We start from the raw sequence: 16516 nt of genomic DNA, 5'->3' as shown, positions 1-16516 counted from the left end.
TTATAAATGGTTGAATATATTTTTATATAGCATGGGGTAGGTTATATGCAAATATTTACTAAATTAAAAATAAGCAAATGAAGAAAAAAAGAAATATGTGCTGTAAAGTCTCTACACTCATTTGTTTCATGACAAATTAAGTAACCAATTTTTCTGCAAACTAATAATTTAAAAACTTGTATAAACAACCACTAACATTCTCAAAGTCAAGTTCTTAAACATTCAGTGTACATCATTTAGTAAATTAAATCTCTGCTGCATATAACTTTGTATTATAAAGAATACACCAATGAAAATACATACTAAGACAAAGTAACATGCTGCATATCAGAATTTCAAATCAAGTAAAATTTAAATGCCTAATTCAATTAAGTAGCACTGCATAGAAAAAGGTGTAACAAATTTTAAAGAGGCTAAGTAATTTGTACTTCTTATATGCATGTTTTATAACATTATTCTACAGGAAATAAAATTAAATAAAACATGGATTCATGACATAATTAGCTTGCTGTTAACTAAACCTATATATTTATAACTTAGAAATCCCTCAAGGTACCTCAAGGGCCAACTAAAAGCTTACATATCACTATGAACTGTTTTTTTTATTTGCGGTAAATTTCCCCAAGGGTATAAATGCTGCTTTGAAGTTTGGGATTTTTAATCCTACATTCACCTATATATATCTTCTGAGTGTTGTGTGTGCATACCTATTCAGGAATTTGGATTTGCCAGGGGAAATTAATATTATAGGAAGTTGTTACTTCTTCCTTTTTTTTTTCTGTGACAGTATATTGTCGAGATTTTGTTCAATCTTTTATCTTTAGTTTTTTTCAACCTATAGCTAAAGACAATTCCAAGTATGTAAAATTCAGCTTAACATTTTAGTAATAAATACATTTGGAGGAATTAAGGTTATAGCCTTAGCCAACTACTTCTATGCCCAAAATAGAAAATGACTGATATGTTATTCTACTTGAAAAGCAGTGGTTAAATTATCATTATTATCTGCTATCAAAATTTATTTTATCAAAATTTACTTTTATCAAAATTTATGTACTATAAAAACAAGAGTAGAACAACAGAACAAAAGTTAAATGCCAATTTGCTTATTTGTTGGGAACAGGCCTCCCAAAATCTGGCCATAAACTGGCCCCCAAACTGGTCATAAACAAAATCTCTGCAGCTCTGTGACATGTTCGTGATGGCCATGATGCCCACGCTGGAAGGTTGTGGGTTTACCGGAATGAGGGCAAGGAACACCTGGCCCACCCACGGCAGAAAACTGCTTAAAGGCGTTCTTAAACCACACACAACAGCATGAGCGATCTGTGCCTTAAGGACACGCTCCCGCTTGCTGCAGATAACTAGCCAGAGCCCATCCCTTTATTTCGGCCCACCCTTTATTTCCCATAAGGAATACTTTTAGTTAATCTATAATCTATAGAAACAATGCTTATCACTGGCTTGCTGTCAATAAACACATGGGTAAATCTCTGTTCGAGGCTCTCAGCTCTGAAGGCTGTGAGACCCCTGATTTCCCACTCCACACCTCTACATTTCTGTGTGTGTGTCTTTAATTCCTCTAGTGCAGCTGAGTTAGGGTCTCCCTGACCCAGCTGGTCTCGGCACTCAGTGTTTACTATTCTTTAAAAGTTTAACTGAGCAGCATTTAGAGAAATATAATTTACTATTCTGACTATATATATGAAGCAAATAAATGATTACAACCCTTTAGGAATTATAAGAGATGCTTTTAGCAATTTAGGAGAGTCTCCAGGGTGGACAAGTAAATCCAGCAAAAAATAAGAAAGTGTAAGATAAGTTCTGCAAATCCTATAAAACCTCTGAGCAGAGTCACTGCAGGCTAAACAATCATCTAAAATAATTCATCCAACTGCCTGCTCAAATAGAGATGTGCTTCAGCTAGAGTGTCAAAATTCCATACATATTATGAAAAAAAGCAGGTTTTAGGCATCATATTTTTTAAAGTTCAATTCAGTTTAGAAATAAAAATTTGTGTTATATAAATGAATTAGAATATGTTTTCCCACGCAACTTGCAGGTAATATGCTAGATACATAGCTCTATATATTTATATATACTTATAATCATATGTATATGTCCAGCAGTTGTAAATTAATACAAGTTGCAATACAGAACAGTGTGAAAAGGAGAGTCTTTTCAATATATTATAGTAAAATAACTTAATATAAATATGAAAAAAATTAAATTTACTTTACCTGTATGCATTGTAAATCAAAAACCTACTTCATTTGGGTTGGAAACCTAAATTAAAAAGGCAAAACTGTATGATTTCTAGTAAAAATTATAGGAGATTTTTAAGATGATGTGAGGTGGGATGAAAAATCTTCAATAGAACACAAATATAAAAAGCATAACAGAATCCATTTTACAACATAAAAATTAGGAATCATGTTTATCTCAAGACATCCTTATGAAAGTAAGCACACAAGCCACAAAATTGCAGGAGGTTTTTTAATCATTGTAACTGACAAAGGGATTGGATATATCTATCTCTATAATATACATACCTATATATATAGATAGATAGTTATATAGACACACACACATAATATATATTAAATATAATGAGAAATATACTAAGACAAATAAACTATCATGCTGCATATCAGAATTTCAAGTCAAATAAAAATTAAATGTCTAATTCAATTAAGTAGCACTGCATAAAAAAAGGTATAACACATTTTAAAGAGGGTAAGTAATTGTACTTCTTATATGCATGTTCTATAACATTATTCTACAGGAAATAAAATTAATTAGAACATATATATATATATTTCCTATATCTAAATATATAAATAAAAGAAAAGAGTTAACTATGAAGTCTGGCATAAGTTATTTGTGAAATAAGAAGGCGGTGATTAGAGAGGGGCTGTGTGGGTGCCATCTTAGTTGCTATGGTCCTTTTCTTATTTGGATGGGGCTTGCATGAAGGAACTTTTTGTGGAAATTAATTGGGCTTTGCACTTTTGTTTTGCAAAGTTTTCTGTGTGTGTGCCATATTTCACAACAAAAATCATTTAAAAATTTAAATTAACAATAACCAGCCATTCTTAAAAAATGCATTTGCCCACATAAGGGTTCTCATTTAATTTAATTTACTTGCAATTTTAAATGGATATATATATATATTTTAAATGTTAATACTATTGCAACATAATTACCATATAAATAAAGCAGAAGTATCTTGTGGGAACACCTCTGTCCCCATGCCATCCCCCACGACCCCCAAAATCACAAGAGATAACTCTTGTTCTTCTCCAAACAGCAATTACTGCTAATACATTGGTAAATGTTCTGTGTTTATAAGGCTATTTTTGTCTTGTGCATGTGTTTGTATAAATAGTATAACACTATACACATTGTTTTGAATATTGCTTTTTACAAACGAAGTGAATTAAATGCGGTGGTACTGGAAATATGCTGCTAGAAAATCCTTTATGTCTACATGCTGTGGGGAGTATAGTTGACAGACAGCCTCTAGCTTCTGTCCCTTTAGTATCCCCTGCATTAGTCAGGGGGAAGCCATCTTCTATCTGGAATACTCTCAATCAATGACAGTCATAGCAGGGGTACAAGAGCTGGACCATATCTGCCCAACATGGGTTAGATCTTAGAGGCCATGTTTGGTCTAGGTCTGCCCTCAGCCTAGTTGAGATTTTTTCAAAGCTGCACTATTGCTTGAGGTTCTTACTACCCAAACCTTCCCTTATTCCTTCCACAATTGTCAGATCTGAATCAAAATTTGCAGACTCCTTCTGCCTAGTCCTGTTCCCTCCCATTTACCCTTTGTGGGCTCTTATTCAATAAAACTTTTGCATGTCTAATGCTCTCTTGGTATCTGCTTATTGAAAAACACAAACAATTATTTTTAAACCGAATTATAGTAATACATAATATAAATATAATGCAGTTATTTATTGCTATTGCCCTATTAATTTTTATTTTAATTTTTAAAGAGTCATTTTTATGAACAATGCTGCAAGGAAAAATTTTGCTCATGCCTAGTCTGTAGACAAGTACATGCCTTTTTCTAAATAAACATAGAGAATTAAAATTTCTAGGTCAAGAGTGCACACATTTTTAACTTTAATATATTGTTCTCCAAAGAAAAATCAATCATGATACCACAAATTAGGAGTACCTATTTCTTTATATACTATATACTCTCAATATTGAATATCTATCTATCTCTGTACCTATCTCTAATACAGCTGTGGTTAAGACCTTGGGAATTAATATAACCTCCAAAGGGGAAGTGTACAAAAAAGCCTACAAAGAATTCTGAAAACACCTGTATTCAAAAAGATGAAGAAGTTCAAAAGAAGAAGAAAGAAAATCTACACAATTCATTAAATGCCAAAAGTAAAGAACTGAACAAAAGTAAATGTTAAATATTCTCAAATCTATTAAAATCTCATAATAAATGAAATAGAAGCACTGTTAGAAGAAGTAAATTATTGTTGACTTTCGTGACCATTTCTAGTAGAGCAGCATCAGAATATAGACACTTTAGAACTCATGTTGTACAATCTTCCAGTCGCAGCATCCATCTCTGCCACCACAACTGTGTGCCTTTTTGGGAGGACTGGTATAGTCAACAACACAGATGACTGGGATCATCTGGCTACATCATCATGTCTATTTTATTAAATGTCTCCCATGGTGTCTTCTCTATGGTGCGGGACCAGGTGTCATAAAAAAAAAATCTTCACACTTTTTGTTGCCAATAGTAGGATGAGTCATTTATCTTTTGTCCTGGCCTCATTATCCTCAATCTTTCAACCTTTACTTTTTCAGATCTCTAGCCAGCCAGATTAACCATTTGCTACTGTCATGGATAGCTTTAATTCAGATAATTCCCTTTTCCACAAAACCCTAATGTCCGTTTGCATGTCCATGACTCTGATAACAGGAAGAATTTCTTTTCTGGAATATTTTATCTTCTGTAAGCAATTCAAAAGAAACCCTCCATGAGACCAGAAGTGTGAGTTGACTTTAAAGCATGAGTGAGACAATGGTAGGTGACACTGGGTTCTGTGCCATATGCTCATGTAAGACAAGGATTAAGGTATACATGATTTATTGAGAGAGTATCCTTAAGGGAAATTTATTAAGGGATCAAACAATGATGTAGAAAAGGTGAGAGGAAAAAAAAAAAAACAGGCAAGAATGTTTTTCCAAACATCTAGCCATAGGGAGACAAAGACGATGTCATGGACATGAAAATGTTGTAGATCATCTTTGAGATGCTGCACAAATTCCCTGATTACCAGACTGAATCCTATTGAGGCCAATTTTATGAAAGGACACAGCTGTGAGCTCTTAGCCACTAGTAATCGTAACAATTAGGAATAGATGTGGAAGCCTGGTTAAGGAAATCTGAGCAATCTGCCATTTCTGGTAGAGCAGCATCAGAATGTAAAATGTCTAGAACCTCATTTTTATAATCTTTGAGTTGTAGTATTTGTCTTTGCCACCATGACTGTGTGCCTTTTTGAGAGCATCGATGTATTCATCAACATAGATGACTAGTTATCATCTGGCTGAATCATCGTGTCTGTTTTATTAAGTGTATTGGCCATAATGACCCCTGCACACTTACAGTTTTAATATTTATAACAGGTTAATGACCAGATCATGCCACTTCTCTGAATTCACAATTTATGTATCCAAGTGCCTACCTCATATCTCTTTACAGATACATCAATGACACCTCAAACCCACCACGTTCAATATTGTGCTCTCAACTTCTCTTGATAGATGGTTTTCTATGGTTCTTTTTTGTTTGTTTGTGAGCAAAAGGCACCTACATCTATCCAGCCATTCAAATTACAAATCTTGAAGCCAGGTTTGATATCTCCCTCCCCGACAACATCTATATCCAGGCCACAGTTGTATTAGATATTGTTGCATTCCTGTCCATTTAACCATGGTTCTTACCATTCTTGTTCCTGCTCTCAACTACCCACTGAAAGTGTTTGTGACTTTTCTTTGAGGTATTTCCCTAGCACACTCAGCTGACATGTGAGGCATGTTGGAACTAATAGGAAATGAATAATTTAAAGCAACGTCAGTCAATAGTGGATGGAATATGGAAGATTTATTCCCAAGCATCCTTAACTCTTGCATGGGACATTCATGAAAAATTCTCTTCATGGTCTTCTGAAGACCTCCAACAAAAATGAGATCCTGATGCCCACACTGGAAAACTTTTCATTAATACACTTAAGAACTGGTTCCCATTTCTTTCATATCTCACTTTCTACCTCACTTACCAGTGCTTCCTTTGATTACATCCAGAAAAGTACTTGAACTTACATCTGTGACTAAGAGTCTGCTTCAGAGGAAACTAAACTAATAAATTTAAAAGTCTTAAAAATTGTATTCCCTCAATGCATAAATTTTTTGTAGTTAATTGTATCTGCATGGCCATACCATAAGCCCAGTTTACCCCTATTTCTCAGCTTGATCAACACTGCAGTAGCTTCCAAACTATTTTTTCATCCTTCATTCTGCATCTCTTTAAGCATCTTTCTTACTGTAAAGCCTGAGATTTCCAAAATGCAAGTCTGATTATATATTAAAATTATTTAATAAATTACATGGCCAACATATTTTACAAAGCATTCCTGTACATTGTCATTTAGCAGCTATTCTCATCCACATTCATGCACCTCTCTGAATTGCAATGAATCAATCTAAACACTACATTTTCAAGATTCATTAGCAATCGGGCATAATATATAAACTATATTCTGCCAGTGAGATGTGTTTTCATAAATCTCAAAGGAGATTTTAAGGTAAAATATCTTAATACAGCCTAATGTATAATGTTGACACACAAGTATGAAAGACAGTGTTTGTGGTGGCTGGACTTAGCATTTTATATTTACATAGGTGTTTTATTTGAGGTGATGATACCAGCATTGGAGGCAACAGCAAACTTCTGATCTTTGGAAAGCTGTTGTCAAGGTGATCTGTACAGTCATGTAGCAGTATATCTAACTCATACTCCTGTTGTGATTCCAATAACACTGAAAGCTCCTAATTTACTGTGCTGACTCTCTTCCTGTTTGAGATACCTAGGATGGTTTAGTCTTAAACACTAAAATGTGGTGATAAAAATAAGTCGTCATTTAGTTGGTTTGTATATAGTTTCTCAACTCCGATATCAACAAATCTCTTTATTTTTCTGGATTCTAATCATCCTGAACTTATTATTGTTTGTCTTATCTGTCACGCCTCCTACAGATATAGTGTTACTTCTTTCTTGGACATCCACTTTGTCCTGAAACCATTTCAAAAATGCCTATTCTCCTTTGTCATCAGAGAAAATCAGTTCTTCAGGGAAGCCTCTCTGCAGTCCTACTTCATTAAATCATTTATTAAATTATCTCATAAAACAAAGAATTTTTATAGAAATATATTGTGATAATGTTCATTTTCAGTTTGATTATTTGAATAGTATTACTCATCAAACCAAGTAATATGTTTCGTAGCTAAGAGTAACTCTAACGACTCTCACAGTCCTAGTCCCTAGCCCACTGCCTAGTCAAGTATAGAAATTCAATAGTTTCTGACGAAGTCTCACTGTTGATGAGAGATTTAGAAAAGAGAGAAATCACGATAAATGAAATGAGATTTATGAAGAAGAGGCTAGAAATGGGATCCAAACCTTGAGTTGGCATTTTATGTTAAAGCACCTATCCCATTAAAATAGAATATGAAAAGGAAAGGTAAATACAAACTTTGTAAATTGATTAACAGTATGTGAGAAATTAAAACACTCATATTTTCTCCATGAAGTAGAAGGCTAAGGAGTCTGTTGGCCTGATTGGAGTTGTAATTGGGAAGTGATTCAAATGGATGGAAACATATTGGAAACAGCTACATTCTTAATGGGAAAGAAAGTTGACCAGGGAAATGAAAGACCTAGAGGAATTTTAAAGATCCATTTCAGAATAGAAACAAAATATCTGTAGAAACACCATTCCACACATTTGAATGAACAAACAGTCGCCTAGTTGCAGTGAATGGGAACAATTTAATTGATCCAAGATCTAGATGTTAAAGTATGTCTGTGGTAGAATAATAATAGGTCTAGAGATACATGAACAAAAAATCAGAGTATAAAAAATTTGAAGTTAAAATTTCAAAGTTTCTTAGAGTAAAAGAGATTTCACCTTTTTAAATAGTTAATAATTTTCCTTAAGCCTCAGTTACTTTGGCATGAATTGGGTCACTTGCTTTACACTGATCCATCTATTGTGACTGATTATTCATTCTGGACTCAGGGCCACTCCTGCTTAATTGAGGATGTGTTATGACCCCATCACATAAAAGGAAGATATTTTCTCACAGAAATACCAGAGGTTATAGTATCAGATGAGAGGAAATTGAAAGCTGGTTGGTCTTTAGATATAATAAACCATGTTTTAAATTGATTTTACCTACACAGTACCAGGAACATAGCATAGACTCTGTCCTTGAGTATAGCATTGAACAAAAAGGTAATGTGAAGTCAGAAGTTGAAAATCAGCAGGAGGTGATTACTTTTTGGAATACATAAAAATAAGATTAGTATTTGAGGTCGGGAGTGGTGACTCACGCCTATAATCCCAGCACTGTGGGAGGCCGAGGCAGGTGGATCACTTGAGGCCAGGAGTTCAAACCCAGCCTGGCCAACATGGCGAAACACTGTCTCTACTAAAAATACAAAAATCAGCCGAGTATGGTGGTGCATGCTTGTAATCCCAGATACTCGGAAGGCTGAGGCAGGCAAATCACTTGAACCTGGGAGGTAGAAGTTGCAGTGAGCTGAGATTGCACCACTGCACTCCAGCCTGGATGACAGAGCAAGATGCTGTCTCAAAAAAAAAAAAAAAAAGTTTAGGATTTGATTTATTCAATAATTTTTTTACTGCTCACTTATTATGCTCCAGAAACTCTATGTGGAATGAATTAATGAATATGACAGATAAATATTTTCTGGTCACATGGAAATTAAATTTTAGTATGAGGTTAAAAAAATGACAAAGAATATAATAAATAAGTAGATTTTACAGTAGTTTATAAGGGTATGGTTGCTATAGAAAAAAAATGATAGTTTACAAGGTGTGGAGACTGAATGTCCAGTGCCAAGTGGCATAGTACATTTTTAAGTAAGGTGCTCAGAATATGCTTTATTGAAAAGAGACTCCTACTAATGGAAGAAGGTAGGGAAGGTCACTATGTGAATGTCTGGGAAAAATCTCACTCTACTTACAGAAGACAGCCAGTGAAAAAGCCCTGAGTTTGACTCTGTGCAGTGTTTTCATTAAATAGTAAATGATCTGGTGGTTATGACTGGAGCAGAGTGTTCAAGAAAGAATTGTGGACTTAAAAAAATCAGTGAGTAATGATGCCAGGTCACTAGGAGTTTATAAAGCAAGAATGGACTTTGCTTTTACTCTGAGTGAAATAAAGAGCATTTCAAGGTTTTGAAATTAGGAGTAATTTGATCTGATTGTGTTTTAAAATGTTTCTTTAGCTGATGTATTGAGCATAGATTATTAACAGGCTTACAGGTGACTTGGAATATGGTGGCATTCATTTGTTTTAGGTTCAAGAAAATAGTGCATACCACCTGTACCTGTTTCAGTGAGTTGAGTTTCAGAAAAGTTTCTGAGAGCAGCTCCTGCTGTCATCAAAAAGCAGTGCCTAAGCCCATTGGCTTTCTTCAGAAAAGCCCATCTTTTTACAGGTAATAACTTGCTTACAAATGACACTAGGGATACATATGCCCCAAGAAATAAATGATTTATTGCTAAAGTGTCTCGTTACTATAAAAAGATTCAGTGCTTTCTTCTGATAAGATGTGTCTGGTTCCAGCTACACAGTGGGAGTCAAAAGCAGCTATCCATCAAAAGTCCCAATTGATGGAGAGATCTTATCTACCAAGCTCTTATCTACCAAGGCAAATAAGCCTGCTTCATAGAAAGAAGGTCCTAGATGATGTAGGGCATTTAATCCTGTACCTCCTGCTGCAAGTATAACAAGTCAGCGTTCTCTCATACAGAATGTCATAATAAGATGGAAATGGGTTTAGAGAGACAAATGTTTTGTGGCTTATCTCTTTTTTGTATTTTAGCTTCAGTTTCTAATAATAAAAACAATGTAAGAAAAAAGAAAATTGTTCTCTGATAAAATAGATTATTGAAACAAAGAAAGTGGAAAAAGATACCAAAATATTTAAATATAAAACTTCACTTATTACCACATCATCTTAATAAGCAAGCTATGGTAGCATATTGCTTTATTTTGCATTAGGCCATTCTTGCATTGCTGTAGAGGAATAACTGAGGCTGGGCAATCTATAAAGAAAGAGGTTTAATTGGATCACAGTTCTGCAGGCTGTACAAGCATGGTACTGGCATCTGCATGGCTTCTCGGAAGGCCTCAGGTAGCTTTTACTCATAGCAGAAGTTGAAATGGGATTAGACACATCACAAGCTGAAAGCAGGAACAAGGGAGAGAGTGGGGATGGAGGTGGCACACTTTACAACAATCTGATCTTGAGGAAACTCACTCACTATGGCAAGGACAGCACCAAAATATGAAGGATCTACTACCATGACCCAATCACCTCCCACTAGGCCCCAGCCCAACACTGGGGATTACATTTCAATATGAGATTTGGGCAGCAACAAATATACAAACTACATCAATTCTCTGGCAATATTTAGCATATGTGTCTTTATATATTTAAAATGTGTTATCATAATTCTGAGTCCTGATTTTTTCCATAGTTAATTGATATGTACTTTATAGGTTGCTACATTATCTTTTACAGTAGATTTTTAATAGCTATATGATATTCAATTAAGTAGGTATAACATAGTTGGGCTTTTATTATTACTGGAAATAAAAAGCTCTATAAAGTCACAAGTCAATAGCATTTTACACACTAGTAGGTTATTAATCTTTTATTATGAACACATTAAACCCAAACCCCTTCTCTTTCCATTCCTCGTTTGTATATCTGGTTTTTAGCACAAAAATAGTAAAATCAATGTGGTAAAGGGTTGGCAATGATTCTTTTAATTAATTCAAATTATTTCAAATCAATTTCTATCTTTCCCTAATAATACTCATTGTTTTTCTCTAAGTAGTGGATATAATTGGCTTCCTGAAATATACATGAATATATCTTGGATCAGTTCAACTATGGACAGCACATGTATCAAACATCAAGCCATTATGTCAGCTCCAAGGCATTTCATTCTTTGTTTTTATAAATCAGTTTGCATCATGTGCAATTAGGAAGGCACAGCACAATGTAGATTTGGACACAAGAAAATTGGAAAAAATAAAAATATGCTAAGACAGATGAATATTCATTAGCTTTGTGAAACAACTACGTCAGTCAACTAGTTCATAATAGTTTACATGTTAACTCCAAATATGCATTGATATATATGTATATCAATGTATACACAGGGTTTGGTTTTAAAAATGGAAGAGTTAAGAGAAGTTTTGAAAAATGCTTGTAAAAAATTAATTTTAGCAATATTAAGAGAGGGACTTAATATAATTTGATCAAAAGACCAGATGTGGAGTAGGAAGCAAAGGGATTCTAATGTAATAATTGTAATTATTTTCATATTATATTGAGTGCATATGTAATATACCCATGAATAATAATTTACATTTCAAATTCTATAGGAAAAGGAATTTCCTTAAATTTAAACATTCCAGTGTTTTTTAAACTAATATTTACATAATTAGAATGTATAACGTTTATTTCTTCCATTGCTTTTCATCAGCATTATTACTTTATCTAGTGATAGGTAATAGTTAATAACTTACTAGTTACAGAGATTTTCAAATGATCTGATCTTAGAAATTTCTAAATAAGTACACATTTAGTCATCTAATGTTATTTATTGGGCAACATTCACGTATAAGATGTTTTATTATATAATTCAACCAAATGCCTATATTCAAATAGCTACCCGGGAAAATCTTCACATACACCCATACACGCACACAGATGACACATAACTCTTGACAGTTAGTTTAGAAGACAGGAAAAATGAAAGCCACAAGTAAGTATGATAAAATATATGTTATATAGAAATGTAAAGCATAGGATAGAAATAAAGCTAAGTAAATTATTAACTCAAACTTTCATGGTTTTAAGGTTGTTACAGCAAAAAATGCATAATAAATGTTTCTTGACTAATGAGCAGAAACATTTTGGATGAAAAAACAGGAAATAATGTTCAGAAATATGACAGTATAATAGTTTGGTATAATATTTCACAATGTATGTGCATGTACTTTATGCTCTTATGTGGCAGGGTTTTTATCTGTTGCAGTGCTTAGCTGAAAATAATGGAAGCAGATATTGATTAATTCAGATGGGAAGATATCTGATATCTCACAGAACCAATGAGAAGTGAAGAGAATCGGTTTCATAAAGCAAGCCAGAAATAAGGAAGTATGAATACTAAAAAAATTTAGCTAGTCATGGTATTACATGGGACACCACCGTAACTTGGTATTTAATCCTCCATTGTATCTAGACTTCTGTTATTATTGCCACCATTTGTTAACTTTCCTGTTACTTTGCTTAATTTCTTTAAGATTCAGACAGTTGATAGCAACACTTGATTAAAAAACTGTTGAACATAAATATTCCTGGAAACAAGAAGGAAATTTTTGACCCCTTTGGGATGTCTAATGTGAAATAGGTAACCAACACAAATAAAATGTCCTCTATTAGGTGAAAGAGAATGAGGATGAGTTTCAAATAATAAACTGACATAATAGTGAGTAGAGCGTTTTATGCTATTACACAAAAATTAGACCTTTGTTTTAGGCAATAAGAAGTCATGACTGCATCTTAGGCAGAATAATTAATCTTATCAGAATTGCATTTTAGAAATAACTTGAGTAACAATTTGGATGAAAATACTGTAAACATGAGGGTCTATTGAAATAGAATTCAGGAGATTCGTGATATCCCTGAAGACAGATAAGCATCTTAATTAGCACAATGGTACTGGTGCTGGGGAGAATAAAAATAAAGAACGGATGTAAAAGTTATTTTGGAAGTAAAATTTGGAGAGCTTAGTAACTTACTGAATATGAGAGATAATGGAGAGAAATGAATCAGAGATAACGTATAGGTTCCTAAATTGGCTAACTGGATAGTTGTGATGTTATTGAATGGGAATTAATTTAGTTTTAGAGTCACCATATTTGATATAAATTGAACATTCAATAATTTGAAAACATTAGTCTACAGTTTGGAACCATGGTATTGACAATCTTTAACACAGGGAGCACTAAAACTCCAAATACACATACAGAAAGATAAAACAGTAAAAAACGAAGAAAAAAAGGTAAGTGTTTTAATGGAAGTCAAGGAAATAGACTTTCAACATTTAACAGGAAGGCAGCTGGATTATGGGATTTTGAAATCAAAGAGAAAAGGAAGTGAAAATATGCTAGAAGTTTAGATACTAGATAGTTACTGATATCCTTGACAGAGAAGTTTCTTTCAAGTGGTACAGAGAATTTCAAGGGTTAAATAATGAATTTGTGGTTAAAAAAAAAAGCTAGAAAGTTTTGTTTAACAATATATTTTTAGAGTAAAATAAACAAATAAATAAATCCTGGGCAATATAGTGAGACCCCCATCTCTACATAACAAGCTCAAAAGAAATATCTGGGCTTGTTGGCTCATGCTTGTAATCCCAGCTACTGGGGGTAGGGAGGAGATTGAGGTGGGAGGATCCCTTGAGACTGGGAGGTTGATGGCAACTTAAAAAATAGGTTGGTAAAAGGAAAGGGTTATTTAAAACATAACTTACAAAGCAGTATTCTTATAATGTAGAAAATTGATTCACTATTTTAGTCCTAGTATAGTCTAATATGATTTACTTCTTTTATTAAGTAGACTAATTTAATGTGATTTGAATTATGCACTGTTTAGGAATTCATACATTTATTGTGTACTTATTTAGTGTATGTTAGTGTTACTGATTATAGCAATTTTAAATATTTATTTTTAACCACTTAATATATAACAGTAACTTAGAAAATTATATTTATGGGATAGGTCCTGAATTTTATAAATGTTTGCTTAAAAAAGCACAGTATAAATACATCAATTCATTTGAAAGCTAAAAGTTTGAAATAGATTAAGATTGAAACTGTCACAGGTGCCAAGAACATACAATTTCTTTTAGAATCATTGTCAGTATTAAACATTGTTTAATATGTTGAAAAATGCATTTAAATAAAAAGAAGGAGAGATAAAAAGGATAAAACTAAGAGAAGATATTATATTCAACCTCTGTAAAGGACACTAGGAGACAAATATCTCACTTTATCATTTTTTAGTTGATTCTGGAATCCTAATCACCAAACACGCAAAAAAGAAAGTTAGTAATAGAAACTCTGCAATACAAAATGTATTTGCAATGCTCTGAAGAATAATTGAAATATTGGTAAAACAGTATGTCTTCAAATAATTTTGAGGTCCTCCCCAAGGTGTGGCAAATTGGTGTACAAGTTCTGAGTTACCGGTGTCCCCAGGTACTGCCTGCCTCAGCATTTGAGACACTGGCCCACTAGGCTGACTGCCTTTAGACTTCAGAAGTCTAGTTTAACCTAATGTTTCCACAAAACATTATACTTTGTGTGTATCACGATGTAAAAAGTTTGTGAATCATTGCTCTCATCAATAAAGATTTTGATAAGTACTATCAATTCGATATATTTTTCCCCTGAAAAAAAAGGAATGAAAATGAAATGTCAGCTATTTTACTATATTTTTTCTTAATATGAAAACATGCATGATCATGATAGCAAATGTATACAAATAATCGTAGAACACAAAGAAAATCACCCATTACTCCTCAGTTTAAACATATGTATTGTAAACATTTGGAGGCATTTTGTTCAAGAGGTGTGCGTGTATGTGTGTGTGTGCGTGTTTAAAAAATAAGCCTGTATATATTTGTTGAATGAAGTCATGATTATTGTGAAAAGTTAAAATAAAGACATAGAAAATTTGGAATTTAAATTTGGATTCTAAAGTTTGTATTATAATAGTACCAATACTGAAGAGGGTGAAAACAGTGTACTATTGATGGAAAAGGGTTTTATGAAATGCCAATTAAATGGCGATTATGTTGAAGCTTCATACTTTCCAGGAGCAACACAAACTGTCTGGGGAGAAGAAAATCACTTAATTTAGGCTGCCATTTAAATAATAAAATTAATATAAAAAAACTATTATACCAGGTATTCTTTTTTAGCATATTTCCTTTTAATTATATCAGAAATATAGGTTACATCATTATAGAAACAAAGCCTGAAAAAATGTACTATTAGCTATTATATTCAGGAGTAGTTTTTAAAAATTAATTTTCATCAGTGAATGTGTTTATGTTCAATAAAAAGAATAGGTTTATATCCATATGACTGTTGTTAGTCTAATGTCTTCATTACAAATACACACTTCAGGAGTTATTTGTGTGAGTAAGCATGTCTTCTAGTCTCTTGGGAAAATAATCCATGTAAGTTATTAGTTCCCCGGCCCTATGTGTGCATATACTTTTCATTTTTCTGTCATCTAATGAATCCTCTGAAGGTGGCATTTGCTTTGATATTAACGTATTTCATGGCTTCTTAATTTTACTAAATCTGGTTGGCATTTGGATATTTTTATAATGCAAATAGCATTTTTGTGTTTTTATAAAGGAAAATTAGGCATGTGTTTCATAAGACGATAGCAGGTTGATTATTCTTTCTTAAGAATTTTGAATTTTACAATAGTTCAGGTTACAATATTACTCCAAATATATTGTTTCTTCTTTGTTAATTCTTTAAGTATGCAGAATTAAGTTGATTGAATTCTTCAATTAATGATAAACTATGCTCATGGGTTAATGTAACACTCTTGTTTGGTTTCATGTTTTATTGGTATTATTTTATTTCTCATCAATGATATTACCAATATGAAGATAAGTCCGCTGTTATATATATGTTGTGGCCTACGCATATCTAATTAAGTGAATCAATAAACTCATACCACTCCAGAAGAAAGTGCTTAAATAACATCATATGATTTACTTTAAGAGAAATAAATTAAGCACATATGACAAACCACTAAGGTACAGAAAAACTTTAATCAGTCATGTGCTACACAAAATTATAAAATAGATTATAAATAGATTTGAAAAAATGTTACTGAGAATTAAATACCTATATTATATGAAGCATCTTTATTTTTCATTTTACTACTTTTTCCTTCTTAAATCTAGAATTCAAAACTGAATACATTTAGGAATAAAGAAATTTTCTCCACATTACTTCCCCTTAAACTGATATTCCAACAGAATCATACACACCCATACACACATATTCATAGTTAAAAACTAGATTAAAGGCTATACCAAAACTTTTAAACTTTTGT

The 16516-nt window shown here is 32.9% G+C and overlaps 1 long non-coding RNA gene across 1 annotated transcript in view; it reads right to left on the bottom strand.

Moving 5' to 3' along the window:
- Positions 1 to 10472: 10472 nt before the first annotated feature.
- The window catches only part of LOC105377254 (uncharacterized), a 33412-nt gene continuing 27368 nt past the window's right edge, over positions 10473 to 16516 (bottom strand). The window contains exon 4 of the long non-coding RNA XR_938827.1: positions 10473 to 10536. This is a non-coding gene — a long non-coding RNA (uncharacterized LOC105377254). The remainder of the gene's footprint in view (positions 10537 to 16516) is intronic.

The sequence above is a fragment of the Homo sapiens genome, chromosome 4 (assembly GCF_000001405.40).
Source record: "Homo sapiens chromosome 4, GRCh38.p14 Primary Assembly".
NCBI classification, from domain to species: domain Eukaryota; kingdom Metazoa; phylum Chordata; class Mammalia; order Primates; family Hominidae; genus Homo; species Homo sapiens.
This window is presented reverse-complemented; position numbering and strand designations above follow the sequence as displayed.